Here is an 18,459-nt window from a genome sequence, read left to right as displayed (position 1 = left end):
AAATAGGAACATGACCCAAGTTATGCTCTCAATTTTCACTAAATGAATAAATGAACTAATTAGTATTTGTGTCCAAGGGCAATTGGTTGGCAGTTCTGAGTCAGAAATAAACAGAAGGACAGGGTCGTCTGAGTGGTCCACCTGCAGACCTAAAGAGCTCATGGGTCCCACCTTGTCATGAGGCAGCCATGTCTTTGTGCTTGGGGAAACAAGAAGGAGGACATAAGTCCTGATCAGAAGCCACGTCAAGGCTGCTCTGCTGTGTTGAAGGGAGGGGAGGTAGGGTTACTTCTGACAACACCAAGGTTTTATTTGTTCAGGAAAAGACCAGAAACAACAGAAGAGTGATGTCAGGTGAGTAAGCCAAACTTGGCCAGGTGTGTCATTCACATAACATGCATATTACACACTTTTGCTTCTGGAGGGAAAATCCATTAATAAATGCTAAACAATAGGATGCTATCCAGTGTATTCTGCATGTTTACACACCATTGACATCATCCAATTCTCTGAACAAGACCATCCGTATTATGTATGTATTATTCATGTGGTTAATAAGCATGGACAGAGGGCACATTGTTTACTAGGTTAAGCTCAGGCTACACAAGAAACATAAAAGGTAGTCCTTAACTTTAAAGCATTTACAATTATAGTCCAGGGTGTGTTTATATCTGGCCATAGGAAGTCTTTAAGGATGATGCAAATTTGTTCAAAGGGAACTCTTCAGATTATGGTTAATGCAGTGGGAGTTCAGACAAGGATAAAACTGTTATGAAATGGAGGATCTAGAAACAATGTAGTGTAGAGGGCAAAATATAAGCTTTAGTTCTGGACATGCCTGTGATCATATTCTTACTCACCTATTATAAGTTACATGACACAGTACATTTCTAGACCTCTGGAGTTCCCAGGTTTAGTATCTACCAAGTAGAATTCACAATATCTATTCTGCAGAACTGTCAACGTGAATAAAAAGAGAAGATGTATCTCCACGGCCTGTCACCCACTAGTTTGAGTTCTAGTATCTTCCCTCCCTTACCCCACTGGCTTTTTCTGATTTGTAAGTGCGTTAGATTTCTTCTGTGTTTCAGTGGGTCTGCTCATCCAGATGTCCCCATTATAGGTTGGGTTCTCCAGGAGGAAGACAGGGATGGAGCTAGAAGCACAAGAAATTTTGGAGGAGTAATACCTGTGGAAGGAAAAGTAAGGAAGAAGCAGAATTGGGCAGAGGGAGCCATCAGAATGTGACACAGATCTGTCAAAAGGTTCTCCCAGGCCAGTGTGGAACTTTATGCAAGGTGTTTCTGCTGGAAGAGTTGAACAAAATATGGCTGGGAGCTAAACCAACTATTTTTCCCAGCTACTGGCTGTGGGCATCTATAAGAAGCACATTCCCTGGCAACTATCACCACCTCAGGCTGAGGGCCACCCCCAAGAATATATGACCCAGTTAGGAGGCTGAAGGAGTTAACAGCTGGAGGCTGTCAGCTAACCAGAGGCCCTGTAGCTGGCCAGAGTTGAGCCTATATGATATGTCTTCACATCTCCCCCTAAATGTTTGGTATAACAGTTTCAGTCTCCTAAATTTTCTGGCTTAGTATGTGGGACTGAATTAGATAATGGGGAAAATCAAATGAATTATCTAATCATTAATTGAATCTCACCTATAATTCTCTCAATTTCCTCTCATGCTTTAGACATGAGTAGTTTTCAACTATTATATTTATATTTCATAGATCTCAAGAGCTTTTAAAAACCACCTGTTCCTACCATCTACCAGGAACAATTAATTTGGGTCTCTGCACATGAAGTCAGAATCCAGGCATTTATAATGTTTTACAGCCCCAAGATGAGTCTAAGATGCAGCCAGGCAGAAGGTCCACTGCATCTACTTAAGGTTATGACCTATTAGGGGTGCCTTTTCATGCATGGAAAGAAGAGCTTCCAGGATGAAGGAAGGGCTCTTGGCTACGGCATCCTCATCCTCCTCACCAGCATGGTAACAATGATGAAGACACAAAAAGTGCTTCCCTTGCCTAGGCACTGTGCTAAACACTTTACAGACTTTACATAAAGGCTTTAGGAAGTTAAGGAATAGTCACCAAGACTCAAAGCTCCTTCATCATGGACCTCACTGTTGGCATCTTTGGTGATGTGGACTAAAATCAATAGCACCTAATTGTTGGTCAAAGGATCATTCTAGATCTTTGAGTTAGATTTACCTGGAATTCTTGTTGATGACAGTCTCCAGGCCCACTGCAGACCTCCCAAATCCCAGTCTCTGGGGCTGCACCTGAAAGGTTCATCTCAGCCTTCTCCCTGAGTAGCTTCTCTAGTCATAAAGCCTGGGAACCACTCTGCTGTATTTAGGGCTCTCCTCCTGTCACGCCTTCCTTTCAGATCCCTGCCCCACCCCACCTCACTTCAGCTTCTCACCTCTTGGGCAGCTTTCAGTGGAGTGGGCAGCAAGAGAGGTGCATAGAAAGTTAGGGGTCACCTGTCTGCTCTGGACACCTATACACAATAGAATTTTTAAACATGATTATTCTGCTGTTCCTTGGTGATAACCAGGAAAATTGAAAGATAAATTTCAACCCTGAGCGCAAAGATTGACTTCCCAGGCATGACTCTACACTTGTGAAATCCTTATGTGTTCATTCATTAAGGCTTGATCAATAGCCTAGTGTGTCCATAGAGTATGAAGGTGTCATGGATGACGATTCGACTCAGCAAGTCATGCAAAGAAAAGCTTACATCACACAAAAGACAGACATTTAGCCTGCGATTGACCCAATACAGTATCTTAATTGAAGGAAGAATACCTTCCGTGAGCACACGGACTTTGGGAGCACTGAGCTGGCCTGGGAGGTGAGAAAAGGTTCCCCCTCCACCCAAATCAGAGGCCTGGGAGCTGGCTCTTGGGGGATGGGGAGATGGCTGCCTGGCAGAGAGAGCACAGAACATGCAAAGCATGCAGCTCTAGAAAGTCTTGGGGTGTTCTGGAAAGGGGGAGACATTGAAATGACCTGCAGTTGTGGGTGAAGAGACAGCAGATGAAACTGAAAGATAGGATAGTCAGATTGAATATTTCATCCTAGCAAATGAATTCAGAATTTTAGATGCATGGACAGATTTGGTCCAAAGGGAGATGTTGATCTCCATTTTGGATACACTGAGTTCCAATTGCATGTGGTAGGTCTAAGAGTCAGCTGGAAATCCTTCTATGAAACCTGAGAAGGTTTGGATCAGTAATAGGAGCCTCAGGTTGTCTCTGAAGCCGTAGAAACGGGCAAGATCATGTCTGAAGAAAGCGGGAGAAAACTCTAGCTACCAAATAGCTTGGAATGTCATCATTCCAAGTTTACAATTGGTATAATACAGCAACTCCGAAAATGACAAATTAACTTTCTTATTCCATAGAGTACACAGTTCTCTTTTTTCTTTCACATTAATGATGTGTAAAAGTGCTTTGCATAGATTTTTCTCAACCATCCCAACCCACGCTAATGGGACCAGATGCAGTATAAATTTCACTGCTGGGGGTGAGAGGGTAATTTAGACTCTGGATGCCTGCCTGGTGACTGTCAGAGCAGGGCTGCCAATGTTACCAACTGGGTGGTTGCTTTGTAATTTAGATACAATAAATCTAAGGCAAGTAATTTCCCTTCAGAACCTTGAATTGCCTCCTTAACAGAATGATTTTCAGTCTGGCTGAAGTTACATTTTAAGCTATGGGGCTGGAAGAGCTTTTAGAAAGGATACCCAGAGGACTCTATTGATTGCACTCTTGTTTTAAATACAATTGGGTTTCCATTCACAGGAAATGTAGTGGCAAATGTCTTTTATGCTATCAACTTATGATTTTGAGTACTTAAAGGAGTATTTTGCTTTGTGTTTCAGTAAGGCAGTAGGAGCCTCTGTAAAAGAGATATCATTTCCCCTCCTGGTTTATGTGTGTTGACTATTCATAGAAGCAGGGAGCTTGTTGATTTTAGACAAAACTTGAATAGGACTTACCATCTGCATGCTAAACAGTAGCAGTAAAATAATAATAGAAAATTCTTATGCAATGTGTTCTGTGTGCTAGGCACCACCCAAGCAAACACACAGATAAACTCACTTAGTGGCCCCCAACCCTGTGAACTGGGCACTGGGGAGAAGGAGACACAGAGATGTCAATGAACTGCTCTTGGCCACACAGCCTGTAAGTGTGGAAGCCAGGAGTCTAACTTGGGCTGTTGGGTCCCAGGGTCCACACATTGTACCAGGTGCTCTGCTTAAGAACCTACTGTGTGCCTGACTCTGTTCTGGAAGCCAGCAAGGTCACAGTGAATAAGGCATTCTAGGTTACCCAGCACCTGATTTTCTGGAACTTACATGTCAAAGGTGTGGCATAGGGGAATGTGGTTTGAAATAATGCCTTAAGATGAAAGAATGCTGCATGTAATTTATGCCAAATAATGTTTGAAATGGTTAACATAATTTTTGGGGAAATACAAGCCTTAGTCAAAACTGATAATTGAGCTAATTAAAATCTCCTTTTCAAGCATATGCTAGCCAAAAGACCTGTTTTCTTCTTTGAATTCCTCTTTGCTATATAAAGGTAATGCTGAACTCCCAGTGCCAAGACCAATTTAATTCAGTTGCTCATTTACAAGTTAAGAGAAAGAACTTTCCTTAACATATTAGCTGTCTGCTGCTTTGGGATAACGACCAGCTGAATTGACGAACTTTATATAATGATCTGTTGCTATGGTGATGAGTTGCCCAGTGCGTGGAAGAGGGTGTTTCATCATTACCTCCCTGATAATCTTGGAACTGTAACAGATACAAATACGAAACCTTTCCTTTTACTCTGCAGTGACTCTGCGTTGATGAGACAAACACCAGAAATGTATCTCAGATACACCAGTGAGGAGTCAAATAGAAACAAAAATAATACCTCTCCAGGCTCTACACAATTTGAAATAAAGCAGTTTAGCTTTCTGGGTTAGTAGCCTCAACATCCACAGTGAACTTCTATGCCTTGCCATAGGTAACCATTGTCAACGGGGCCACTTATTTCATATGCAGGTATAACTTCTGCACAATTAAGAAAAAGTACAAATGTTTCTTTAAGGTATTAGAAAAGCAAGAGAATAGGTAAAAATAAATCAATGAATTTTGTATATACTGAATGTGAATGTTTAAAAGCCCCACCCTATGCATTTTGTTTTGAAGCCTAGAGGAAACATACACCAGATGAGTCAAATACCAGATGTTCTCACTTATAAGTGGGAGCTAAGTAATATGTACTCATGGACACAGACTGTGGAAAGACAGTCATTAAAGACTAAGAAGTGTGGGGGAACAAAATGGGAAGGCTGATCAGAAATTACTCAATGAGTAAAATCTGCATTATTTGAAAGATTGATATAGTAAAATCTAAGACTTCACCACTACACAATAGACACATCTAAGGAAATTGCACTTGTACCCCTTAAATTTACACATTTTTTTAAAATCACCAAACTGTCTTCCAATGGCTGCACCATTTTGCATTTCCACCAGAAAAGGATGAGCATTTCTGTTACTACATATTCTCATTTTTGGTGTTGTCAGTGCTTTGGATTTTGGCCACTCTAATAGGTGCATAGTGGTATTTTATTGCTTTAACTTACAATTCCTTTGTGACATATAAGGTCAAGCACTTTTTCATATGTTAATTTACTATCTGTATATTTTCTTTGGTGAGGTATCTGTTCAGTTCATTTTTTAATCAGGTTGTTTATTCTCTTATTGTGGAATTTTAAATGTTCTTTGTATATTTTCATTAGCAGTCCTTTATTAATGTGTCTTTTGCAAATATTATCTCCATAAGTCTGTGCCTTGTAACTCATTTCCTAGACAGTGTTTTTGTTTTGTTTGTTTTTGTTTTTGTTTTTGTTTTGGCAGAGTGGACATGTTACTTTTAATGAAGTCCAGCTCATTGATTATTTCGTTTCATGGATCATGTCTTTGGTATTGTACAATTTAGTTTTTTAATGAAAAAATGTACTGAATTATGAATACAAATTGTTTAGGTATGCTCCCAGGGATTTACAAGGATTCATAAAGTTCCTGACACTTAAGCTAGGTTTGCTGCATGAAAATAAAGAAAATGTATTTGCAACATATTATGGAAAAAGCCTGTACTGTCACTTCCAAAAGCACCTCTCCCCCTAAATTTGGTCAATCACTCCCGTGCACACACTCACCCACACATTTAAACACAAAAGCACATATAAAAACACTTTTTGATTCTACCCAGCTATTATGTAATTGAAGCAAATAGTAACACAAAATAAACAAGAGAAAGTGAAAGCAGACTCTTGTAGCCAGTCTTGAAGTCCAACCATCTTGGCTACCCCACGGGAGCTGTGGGAATGCTCTCCAAATTCTGTGGATGCAGGTTCAGATCCTGAAGAGTGACCCAGAATGGTAGGTTACTTATAAAGTCTTATCCATACATGACAGAGTTCAACTAAATTATTTCTATATTGCAGAGATATTTTAATGCAGTAATTTTCAGAAAAAGAGTTGACATTCATAATCAATAGTTAATGTAATGAGTTGGAAGAAACATTTAAAATTTAATATAACATAATAGAATAAATAGGATAGAAAATATGATGGTAAATTGTACATATGGAAGGTAACATCTCTTTGGAAATCACACCACTGCACTTCAGCCTGAGGGAAATAGTGAGACCCTGTCTCAAAAAAAAAAAAAGAAAATTTTGTTTCTCTGTGTTAATGTAGGTTTACTAGTTGCCAGGTGAGATGCAGTTGTTATTGAGTACAGAAATTTTTTAAAAAATAAAATAGAAAACCATTTTTTTCTGAGCAATAAACATTACGTTTACGGAATTTGAATACGCGCAGAGATGCGTCATTTGGGGTATTTGTGCATTTTCCCCTGTTTTTGACTTTCAGAATTCAGTCGAATCTTGCTGATATAGCAATGTTTGGTTGCACATAAGACACCTTTATGTAACAATTTACAAAATACATGACTTGATACTCTCACCTTGTGGGTTTCTCAGGAGTAGCTGTTGACCCTTCTTGCATTTTTTCTAATTCTGCCAATAAAATCCTCTTTAACAGGTAGGTTTCCCTTAAAGAAACAGAAAATGGGGCAAAGAAGTGACTGTATCTTCATTTTTATCCTTGATTGCTATGGAGAGGAACCTGTGGAAAGCGGATCTACAGAAGTTCCTATAATCCCCTGTATTATAGAGTAGATAGGATACCTCAAGTGTGAGCTCTTCTCTGAATAAAATGACCAGTGATGCTTTTCTTTCCTTCTCTGGCTCACGGACACAGCTTGTTCTGTTCACCACTCCTGGTGAGTGCTTTCATGTCTCTGACTTGTGAAAGGCTCACATAAGCCCATTGTGTGCCCTGTATCCTGTTTTTTGTCCCTTGACATAGCTGAGGCTGTCTTCCTTGGAAAGCTTTCTCCTGCAGGCAGAGTTGAGCTTTCCAGAAAGCTTTTGTATTTCTTCTAGAGAAAACTTCAGGATGAGATGACCATGATTATGGCTGAGATTCATGAAGCCCACAGAAAAGCCAAGATAAATAGCACAGGGCTCTGAGCATGGTGAGAGATAAAGTGGACTGTCTATGTCAGGTCAGAAACCAAAGCTGGTATGAACTGACTGCAATGACTAGGTTCCAGGAAGCCTGTTTGGATTGGTTGTTTCAACGATTTGTAGTCTTTTGCTGCCTATATCTGACTACTGTTTTCTTTCCAAAGATATAACTGTAAACTTTGTATCAGACTCAGTTTTATTTATTTATTTATTTATTATTATTTTTATTTATTTATTATTATTATACTTTAAGTTTTAGGGTACATGTGCACAATGTGCAGGTTAGTTACATATGTATACACGTGCCATGCTGGTGCGCTGCACCCACCAACTCGTCATCTAGCATTAGGTATATCTCCCAATGCTATCCCTCCCCCCTCCCCCCACCCCACAACGACCCCAGAGTGTGATGTTCCCCTTCCTGTGTCCATGTGTTCCCATTGTTCAGTTCCCACCTATGAGTGAGAATATGTGGTGTTTGGTTTTTTGTTCTTGCGATAGTTTACTGAGAATGATGATTTCCAATTTCATCCATGTCCCTACAAAGGACATGAACTCATCATTTTCTATGGCTGCATAGTATTCCATGGTGTATATGTGCCACATTTTCTTAATCCAGTCTATCATTGTTGGACATTTGGGTTGGTTCCAAGTCTTTGCTATCGTGAATAATGCCGCAATAAACATACGTGTGCATGTGTCTTTATAGCAGCATGATTTATAGTCCTTTGGGTATATACCCAGTAATGGGATGGCTGAGTCAAATGGTATTTCTAGTTCTAGATCCCTGAGGAATCGCCACACTGACTTCCACAATGGTTGAACTAGTTTACAGTCCCACCAACAGTGTAAAAGTGTTCCTATTTCTCCACATCCTCTCCAGCACCTGTTGTTTCCTGACTTTTTAATGATTGCCATTCTAACTGGTGTGAGATGGTATCTCATTGTGGTTTTTATTTGCATTTCTCTGATGGCCAGTGATGGTGAGCATTTTTTCATGTGTTTTTTGGCTGCATAAATGTCTTCTTTTGAGAAGTGTCTGTTCATATCCTTTGCCCACTTTTTGATGGGGTTGTTTGTTTTTTTCTTGTAAATGTGTTTGAGTTCATTGTAGATTCTGGATACTAGCCCTTTGTCAGATGAGTAGGTTACGAAAATTTTCTCCCATTTTGTAGGTTGCCTGTTCGCTCTGATGGTAGTTTCTTTTGCTGTGCAGAAGATCTTAGTTTAATTAGATCCCATTTGTCAATTTTGGCTTTTGTTGCCATTGCTTTTGGTATTTTAGACATGAAGTCCTTGCCCATGCCTATGTCCTGAATGGTAATGCCTAGGTTTTTTTCTAGGGTTTTTATGGTTTTAGGTCTAACGTTTAAGTCTTTAATCCATCTTGAATTAATTTTTGTATAAGGTGTAAGGAAGGGATCCAGTTTCAGCTTTCTACATATGGCTAGCCAGTTTTCCCAGCACCATTTATTAAATAGGGAATCCTTTCCCCATTGCTTGTTTTTCTCAGGTTTGTCAAAGATCAGATAGTTGTAGATATGTGGTGTTATTTCTGAGGGCTCTGTTCTGTTCCATTGATCTATGTCTCTGTTTGGGTACCAATACCATGCTGTTTTAGTTACTGTAGCCTTGTAGTATAGTTTGAAATCAGGTAGTGTGATGCCTCCAGCTTTGTTCTTTTGGCTTAGGATTGACTTGGTGATGCAGGCTCTTTTTTGGGTCCATATGAACTTTAAAGTAGTTTTTTCCAATTCTGTGAAGAAAGGCATTGGTAGCTTGATGGGAATGGCATCGAATCTGTAAATTACCTTGGGCAGTATGGCCATTTTCACAATATTGATTCTTCCTACCCATGAGCATGGAATGTTCTTCCATTTATTTGTATCCTCTTTTATTTCCTTGAACAGTGATTTGTAGTTCTCCTTGAAGAGGTCCTTCACATTCCTTGTAAGTTGGATTCCTAGGTATTTTATTCTCTTTGAAGCAATTGTGAATGGGAGTTCACTCATGATTTGGTTCTCTGTTTGTCTGTTGTTGGTGTATAAGAATGCTTGTGATTTTTGTACATTGATTTTGTATCCTGAGACTTTGCTGAAGTTGCTTATCAGCTTAAGGAGATTTTGGGCTGAGACAATGGGGTTTTCTAGATATACAATCATGTCATCTGCAAACAGGGACAATTTGACTTCCTCTTTTCCTAATTGAATACCTTTTATTTCCTTCTCCTGCCTAATTGCCCTGGCCAGAACTTCCGACACTATGTTGAATAGGAGTGGTGAGAGAGGGCATCCCTGTCTTGTGCCAGTTTTCAAAGGGAATGCTTCCAGTTTTTGCCCATTCAGTATGATATTGGCTGTGGGTTTGTCATAGATAGCTCTTATTATTTTGAGATATGTCCCATCAATACCTAATTTATTGAGAGTTTTTAGCATGAAGGGTTGTTGAATTTTGTCAAAGGCCTTTTCTGCATCTATTGAGATAATCATGTGGTTTTTCAGACTCAATTTTAAAACACATTCTTTAGGAAAGTCAGTGTTATCATCACCTATTAATATTTTAACTAAAAATAATTTGTTTAGTGTTAATGGCTGTCCATATCAATGAATGAAATTTGTTATTAAAATCAAATTAAAATGTGAAAAATTATTATTGCATTTAATGGGTGTAATTTAATGATAAGTCAATAATAAATAGTTTTTAGTATGTAAAGACAAGTCACTAATTAAAATACTATTATGAACATCATCTACATATCTTTGCATGTAGTATGAATCATTGAGTATCTTTGGAAAGATATACATAATGAGCATAAGTAGGTACTTTGTAGTTCACATAGATTTGTTTGTTAAATTTTCTTATTTAAAATAATTGAATTATAATTGTAGTTAAACCATTTGTAATACATATTTATGGGCATCATGAATTGTTCTTACAGGTTTTATTGAATTTAGTTGTGGTATATCCAATACAATCTGTATACTACAGTAAATTCTTTTCTTCTTAAGGCTGCCCTCAACATTTTTTTCACATCATTATGCCTCTTTGACACTTCAAGGAATCCACAGAGCACCTAAACTGCTCTTCTCACCCACCTCATTATGCTGTTCCGATATGACCTGTGGTTCCTGCGGTCATGGTGGTTTCCTAGGACTAGAGATGTTCTTTACACTCAGCTAACCTGAAATGGGTTTCATTCAAAGCCAGCTGAAACCTCTTCTTTTCCTGGAATTGCTTTCTCTACTCTCCTCTGAACTCCTGTAGCAAGATTTATCACTTACTATGTTGTGCTGTTTGGTTATATGCATCCCTTTCTATGGTGTGTTGTTACTAGCATTTGTTAATGTGCTCTTCCTCCCCACACTGCCAGACATTTATATTAATTCTTTTTTTTTTTTTTTTTGAGACGGAGTCTCGCTCTGTGGCCCAGGCTGGAGTGCAGTGGCACGATCTCGGCTCACTGCAAGCTCCGTCTCCGTCTCCACGCCATTCTCCTGCCTCAGCCTCCCGAGTAGCTGGGACTACAGGGGCCCACCACCGCGCCCGGCTAATTTTTTGTACTTTTTGTAGAAACAGGGTTTCACCGTGTTAGCCAGGATTGTCTCGATCTCCTGACCTCATGATCCGCCCACCTCGGCCTCCCAAAGTGCTGGGATTACAGGCGTGAGCCACCGTGCCTGGCCATTAATATTATTCTTTGAGTCTTCAACATGTGTCACTCACTGTGCCTTGAACATACAAGTAGTCAAAAAATTATTACTGATTGATTCAGATGCATAGCTGGACTGCTTTGAACCACTTAATAGTAAACATTGTGACCTCATGTTGCTTTATTAAATAAAGATCACTAGGCATTTAGGGATTTAACAATTTCCATATAAACTGTTTTCAAACACCTCTGAAAATCTATAATATGTAGTAATTTGTAATTGTGTTGAGGCATAAATTAGAAAATCCATTGCATCCCATCTTAAAGAAACTTTATTGTTCTCAATGAATACAAATAATTTAATTCTCAAAACACACTTATGAGTTGGTTATTACAGAAAAGGAAACTGAAGAAAATAAACCTCCAGTTGGATGTGAGAACTTAATAATTTGTGAACAACTTGAGATGTGTTACTCAGAAATCTTGTTGGCATATTGTTTAGGGATTTTCAGTCTTATTTCTAGTAAAATGATTTCAATAACACAGCTTCTGACTGCTGGGATAGAGTCCAAAATGCATGTTTACATGGAGCTGGAAATAAGACAGCTCAGATCTTTGGAATTAGAAGTGCAACTGATATATATATATAGATATATATATACACACACACATATATGTAGAGAGAGAGATATGTATATATGTACACATATATACACATTAAGATATGTATGTTACTGATATATATATATATATATATACACACACACACAAACACACAATTAATGGACACCACCACCATTGTAATTATAGTATCAATATAGAAATAAATAATAGTACTTGAAATGTGGCTTTTGTGAAGCATATGGGAAGCATTTCAATGTTTACGAGTATTGCTCTCCAGCCATGGCTGCAACTCCCAGTAAATATACTTGTATTTCATTTTTCCAATGCAACTACCATAGATAACTGCACAATTCAATGGTAATGATAGTCACATGTATTAAATTGGTTTACAATAGCAAAATGTGTAATCATGGTTGTAATACATTGAAATAGGTGTTTTGTTTTTAATTTTTTGACATCAAAAGTTTAAAATAATTTCCTATTGTGTTTGGACTACTTGATTTAAATAGTTTGATAAAAGTTTTTTAGGATAGCTGTGACCAAGTTTTTTTCTGTAAGGACTGGCTAACTTGCTTTCTTCCGTGGGTCCAGTAATTGGTCTCTTACCTAAATAAGATTATTAGAGATAGCACAGGCCTGTGGGGTGTGGGGGACAGACCTTTTGTAAATATACATGGCCATAGATAATACAATTATAAAAAGTTTATTTCTTTCACATATAACCCTGCTTTTGGATTTTTTTCCTAAGAAAATACTCCATAGAATCAAATGATTATTTGTATGAAGATGTGTATTAGTAGACCACTAAAAACCTCTGCTACCCTGAAAATAGGCTACTAATATAAACAATAATTAGTACCTGGGGAGATGATATGGCAGTTCAGGGCAGCTGGAGGTTTACTTTGGCCATATTTAAAATACACGGAAACAGTGGAATGGGAGTGCTGACCTGCAGGCTCTGAGACAGCACAGCTGACAGCAGAGATGTGAGCCAGCAGGACGGCCAGTATAGTGGGCACTGGTGGAGTGTGAACTGCTCTGGTCTAAATATTTCAGGCTGGACGCAGCCTCCCTGGGGAAAGAACCTTGGACACAGTCGTTCATTTTTAATTTTCTTCGTATAAAACTGAAATGCCTTCTACCTGAGAAACAGCCAAGTTGTCCTACTAAAGGCTATGATCCCACTTTCCCTATTCCAGGCCCTAAGTAATAGTGCATGAGACAGCACAACTTTTCCTGTCATCATCATCCCCTGTTTATCAATCATGTGTGAGTTAATTAGTGTTATGTAAATACATGTGACAGCAGAATAGACTGAATAAACTTGTGGAAAATACGAAACATGAAAATGGTGCTATTTGAGTTATGGGTTTATGTGTTTTAATATTCTGTTAAATTAAAATGTATTGCAAAATTCTGGTTTAAACTGATTTTTAGTAAAACTAAACTAAGAAAAATTAACAAAATTGAAATTTAATGCACAGGAGAGGGAAGAGAGAGTAAAATTGGTCATGGTATATGTCACTACCAAAAACAACTCAAAGTGTGTGTTCTCTCAGTAATTGTACACGTTGACCTTTTTTTTTTTTTTTTTTTTTTAGTTGGAGTCTCACTCTGTCGCCCAGGCTGGAGTGCTGTGGGGCGATCTCGGCTCACTGCAAGCTCTGCCTCCTGGGTTCACGCCATTCTCCTGCCTCAGCCTCCCGAGTAGCTGGGACTGCAGGTGCCCGCCACCATGCCCAGCTAATTTTTTGCGTTTTTAGTAGAGACGGGTTTCACGGTGTTAGCCAGGTTGGTCTCCATCTCCTGACCTCGTGATCCGCCTGCCTCGGCCTGATCAGGTGCTGGGATTACAGGCGTGAGCCACCGCGCCCGGCCCACATTGACATTTTTATATGTGGGTGGCTGTTCCTCTTTCTTAACGTCAAACATAATTACATTGACTAAGTTGACAATTTTAGTTCATTTTATTGTTAAGCAGTAGTTTTCTACTTTTCAAAATGCATGCTTACATGGTTGGGAACATACTATAACTCACCGTTTTTTCTTTTTCAAATTCACCATATGGTCTTATAACTATAATGTAAAAGCACTATTCATTTCAACTGCATATTATGGAAATACCATAAATTACTTGATCACTTTCCTGTCTTTGGAGAATGGTTGGTTTTAATTTTTATTGTTATAAAAATACTGAGAATAATGTATTTGTATTTAAAATTTTTTATTTGTTCGAAATTCACATTCATTCTTCAGTATAAAAACCGTATAGTAAGTCAGCAGGTATTCACTTTTGCTTAATTCTTGATATTCTCTTCTAAATCACCACCTGAAAGAGCTGTGCTAATTCAAGTGCATGAGAAGACCAATTTCACTGCATCCTAGCATTGGGAGTTAGGGTATGTCCCACAATGTATCAAACTAGCTGATGCATGAGTGATTTTAATCTGCTTTCTCTGATTAGTAAAGTGGTTAATCATTTTCCCAGGTATTCATTCATGAGTTCCCATCATTGTGGGCCATCTGTCCCAAGAGGTACACTGCTCTCTAACATCAGAGGTGGGCACAGATGTCCACTGCAGCCTCCTGCACACAACCCCTGGGGAGGTTGATGGAACCCTGGGAGGAGGCGCCTCCATCAGTCATCTCTGTGCCAGTGTGTACACCTGCAGTGCAGCTCCAACTCAGATGCACAGAAGAGGCATGCTTATTCTCTTGACTCATCTAACAACCATATAACAATCCCTCCCTGAGGAGCATCCAGTGGAGAAAGGAGGGTGGCAGAGATGCCAGATTTAATAATGTTATCTGCATTATGAAGCCATCTCTTCTCCAGAAAACATTTTAACATAGAAATATTGATGTATGTGGATGATGTTTCAAACTAGAAGATCACTGGCCCCACCAACTTTTTATTGGACTTGTTTGTATTCTGGAGACTCATTACAAAGTTGCTAGGATTTTTAAGTGTGGTTTTCTCATATTGCCTGATATGGTTTAGCTGTGTCCCCACCCAAAACTCATCTTGAATTCCCACATGTTGTGGGAGGGACTCGGTGGGAGGTAACTGAATGATGGAGGCAGGTCCTTCCTGTGCTGTTCTCATGATACTGAGTAAGTATCCCAAGATCTGATGGTGATTATAAGTGGGAATTTTCCTGCACAAACTCTCTTCTCTTGTCTGCTGCCATGTGAGATATGCTTTTCGCCTTCTGCCATGATCTTGAGGTCTCTTCAGCCACGTGGAACTGTAAGTCGATAAAATCCCTTTCTTTGGTAAATTGCCCAGTCTAGGGTCTATCTTTATCAGCAGTGTGAAAATGGGCCAATACATTGCCATCCTTAGACGTGTCTCTCTCATTGTATCCAAGGAAAACAGTAGTGAGGCTTTTCCTTAGATGTCAAATACATTGTTGGATTCTGGCTTCTCATCCCAGCTCCTTCCTGAGGAATTGACAATGCTGAAGCACCTCTTGCTTTTTCTTAGTTGGAAGAGTCATCAGCTTGGGAGTGGACATGGAGAGAACAGAGAAAGCTTATTGGATGGTGTCTTAGTCCCTTCTCACACTGCTATAAAGAACTACCTTAAAGAGGTTTAATTGACTCACCATTCCACAGGCTGTACAGAAAGCACGGCTGGGAGGATTCAGGAAACTGACAATCACGGCAGAAGGTTAAGAGGAAGCAAGCCCATCTTACCATGGCAGAGCAGGAGAGAGAGAGAGAAGGGAGAAGTGCCACACTCTCTTAAACAACCAGATCTCATGAGCTCTCACTCATGATCATGAGAACAGCAAAGAGGAAGTCAACCCCCGTGATCCAATCAGCTCCCACCAGGCCTCTCCCACAATATTGGGAATTACAATTTGACCTGAGATTTGGGTGGGGACACAGAGCCAAACCTGTGTCAAATGGGAAGTATCCACCCAGGCTCTGAGCCAACCAAGGGGCCGAGATGGTTCAGTCATTGCTTTAATAGCAAGTAGGGATGCCTGGGATTGGTACCCTCTACATTAGATTCTTAGTTAAGTCTTCATAGTTTAGGGACAAGATTATCATCAGTCACAAAGAGTTTCATGTTTTTCAAATAACACCTCTTGATGACTATTAAATCCTCAACTGTGATGAATTATCAAGCCAGAAGGTTCACATTTGTTCTTTAAAGAGCAAAGCAAAATAAACACCCACCACCATTTTAGCCTTTTGTGTAGATCACAGCATGGCACATAATTAATGACCTCCTGATGCCATGAGAGTTGGCCTTTCCATGCTCATAATGTTCTGTCTTTTGTCTTTCACTTTCATCTGGCCCTCTTTTTCAGTTTTCTTAACTTTCCAAATTTCTACTAAGACACTCATAAAAATGATTTTGAATTTATTTCTTCTTTTTACCTAAACGTTAGACTGTTGATAAGAATAAGGCAATTTATAAATAGTGATGAAATTAATTTTATTTTTCTTAAAATAAACACACTGAGGTATATAGATAGTATGTATTTAAGTAAAAAATCAGTTTTAAATATTTTATCTCTTTGTCATTTTATTGAAATTTAGTCCTATTTTACATATTGCCTAAAATTATCTTACTTTCCTAAAAAAGTACCTTCATGGCCAAGTCAATGTTTTATTCTGAGCATTAATACATAAAAAAAATGGTGTAGTTTTGTATTGAAATACCTTATCTACATTAATTCCTATAATGATCCACATCTACAGTTAAGACAGCTGTGTTATATTAAGTTTTGAACTCTGTATAATTATATTACCTGAGGTGATTTCTGAGTGTGCACTATTTGTATCTATGTTGAATTATGTCTTTTAACTTTACTATAATGTTATAATCACCATTCTAACTAGAGTGAGATGATATTTTATTGTGGTTTAGATTTGCATTTTCCTGATGATGAGTGATGTGGAGCATTTTTTCAAATACCTGTTGGCCATGTGTATGTCATTTCTTGAGAGCTGTCTATTCAGCTAATTTACTTATTTTTTTAATAGGATTATTTGTTTCGTTTTGATTTTTTTTTTTTTTTTTGCTTTTGAGTTGAATTTCTTGTATACTCTAGGTATCAATCCCTTGTCAGATGAACAGTTTGCAACCATTCTTATTGGAACTAGTGAGGATATGGACAGCAATGGGCCTCCCTTCGCCCTGGCTTCCATCTCCTAAGACTTCATCTTTGACACAGGGATTATTTAAGAGTCTGTTCTTTAAATTTAATATATTTGGGGATTTTTCAGATATCTTTCTGTTATTTATTACTAGTTTAATTCAGTTATGGCTAAACAACATACTTTTGTATCATTTCAACTATTTTAATTGTGCTGAAATTTTATTATTATGGCCCAGAATGTGGCCTGTCTTAGTGAATGTACCACGTGCATTTGAAAAGCATGTGTATTCTGCTATCCTGGGATGTAGTGTTCTGTAAATATCAATTAAGCCAAGATAGTTAATACTGTAGTCCGAGTCTCCTCCTTTTCCTCCTCCTCCTCCGCTTCCTCCTTCCTCCTCTTCATCTTCCTCTTCCTTCTTCTGCTACTTGCTGTATCAGTTAATGGAAGAAGAGGGTTGTTGCTTCCAACCACAATTGCAGATTTATCTATTCTTCTTTTCAGTGATATCATATTTTGCTCCTTGCATTTTGAAGCTTTTTGTTTGGTTAGTTGTTTTTTAAGTGTGCGTACATTAAAGATTTTTATATCTTCTTGATGAATTTACCTTTACCACTTGTAGAACCCTAGTCATGCTGGAAATATTCCTTGGTCTAAAGTCTAGTTTGTAAGATATTAATATGGTCACTCTTGCTTCCCTTTGATTTGGGTTTGTATAATAGGATTTTTTAAAAAAATTATTTAATCTATATCTTATGTTGAAAGTGGGTCTCTCATAGATCCATACTCCTAGATATTGCTTTTACCCAATATAACAATCTCTGTCTGTCAATTGGTATATGTTAATTATTTATATTTAATATAGTTATTTATATCATTTGGTTAAAGTTATCCTTATTGTGTGTTGCTTTGTATTTGTTTAATTTGTTTATTGTTCTTTTTTCTTCCTTTTTGTCTGCTTTTAAAATAATCAGATTTTTACAAAATTATATTTTTCCACTATTGGCTTCTTATTTATATCTGTTTTAATTTTTTAAACATTTTTTCTGCTGGGCGCGGTGGCTCACACCTGTAATCCCAGCACTTTGGGAGGCCAAGGCAGGCAGATCACCTGAGGTCGGGGGTTTGAGACCAGCCTGACGAACGTGGAGAAACCTCATCTCTACTAAAAATACAAAATTAGCCAGGCATGGTGGTGCATGCCTGTAATCCCAGCTACTCGAGAGGCTGAGGCAGGAGAATCGCTTGAACTCAGGAGGCGGAGGTTGCGGTGAGCTGAGATTGTGCCATTGCACTCCAGCCTGGGCGACAAAAGCGAAACTCCCTCTCAAATAAATAAATAAAAATTTTTTCTATTGGTTATCATAAGATTTACTATATAAATCTTTAGGTAATTAGAGTCTATTTTCAAATAATAACATCTGATTTATTGATAGTGTAAAAACATTGTAGTAA

The 18,459-nt window shown here is 38.4% G+C and overlaps 1 long non-coding RNA gene across 1 annotated transcript in view; it reads left to right on the top strand.

The window, feature by feature from the left end:
- Nucleotides 1-18,459, top strand: part of LINC02226 (long intergenic non-protein coding RNA 2226) — a 124,082-nt gene that overhangs the window by 70,140 nt on the left and 35,483 nt on the right. The window lies entirely within an intron of this gene.

The sequence above is a fragment of the Homo sapiens genome, chromosome 5 (genome assembly GCF_000001405.40).
Source record: "Homo sapiens chromosome 5, GRCh38.p14 Primary Assembly".
Lineage (NCBI taxonomy): Eukaryota > Metazoa > Chordata > Mammalia > Primates > Hominidae > Homo > Homo sapiens.
This window is presented reverse-complemented; position numbering and strand designations above follow the sequence as displayed.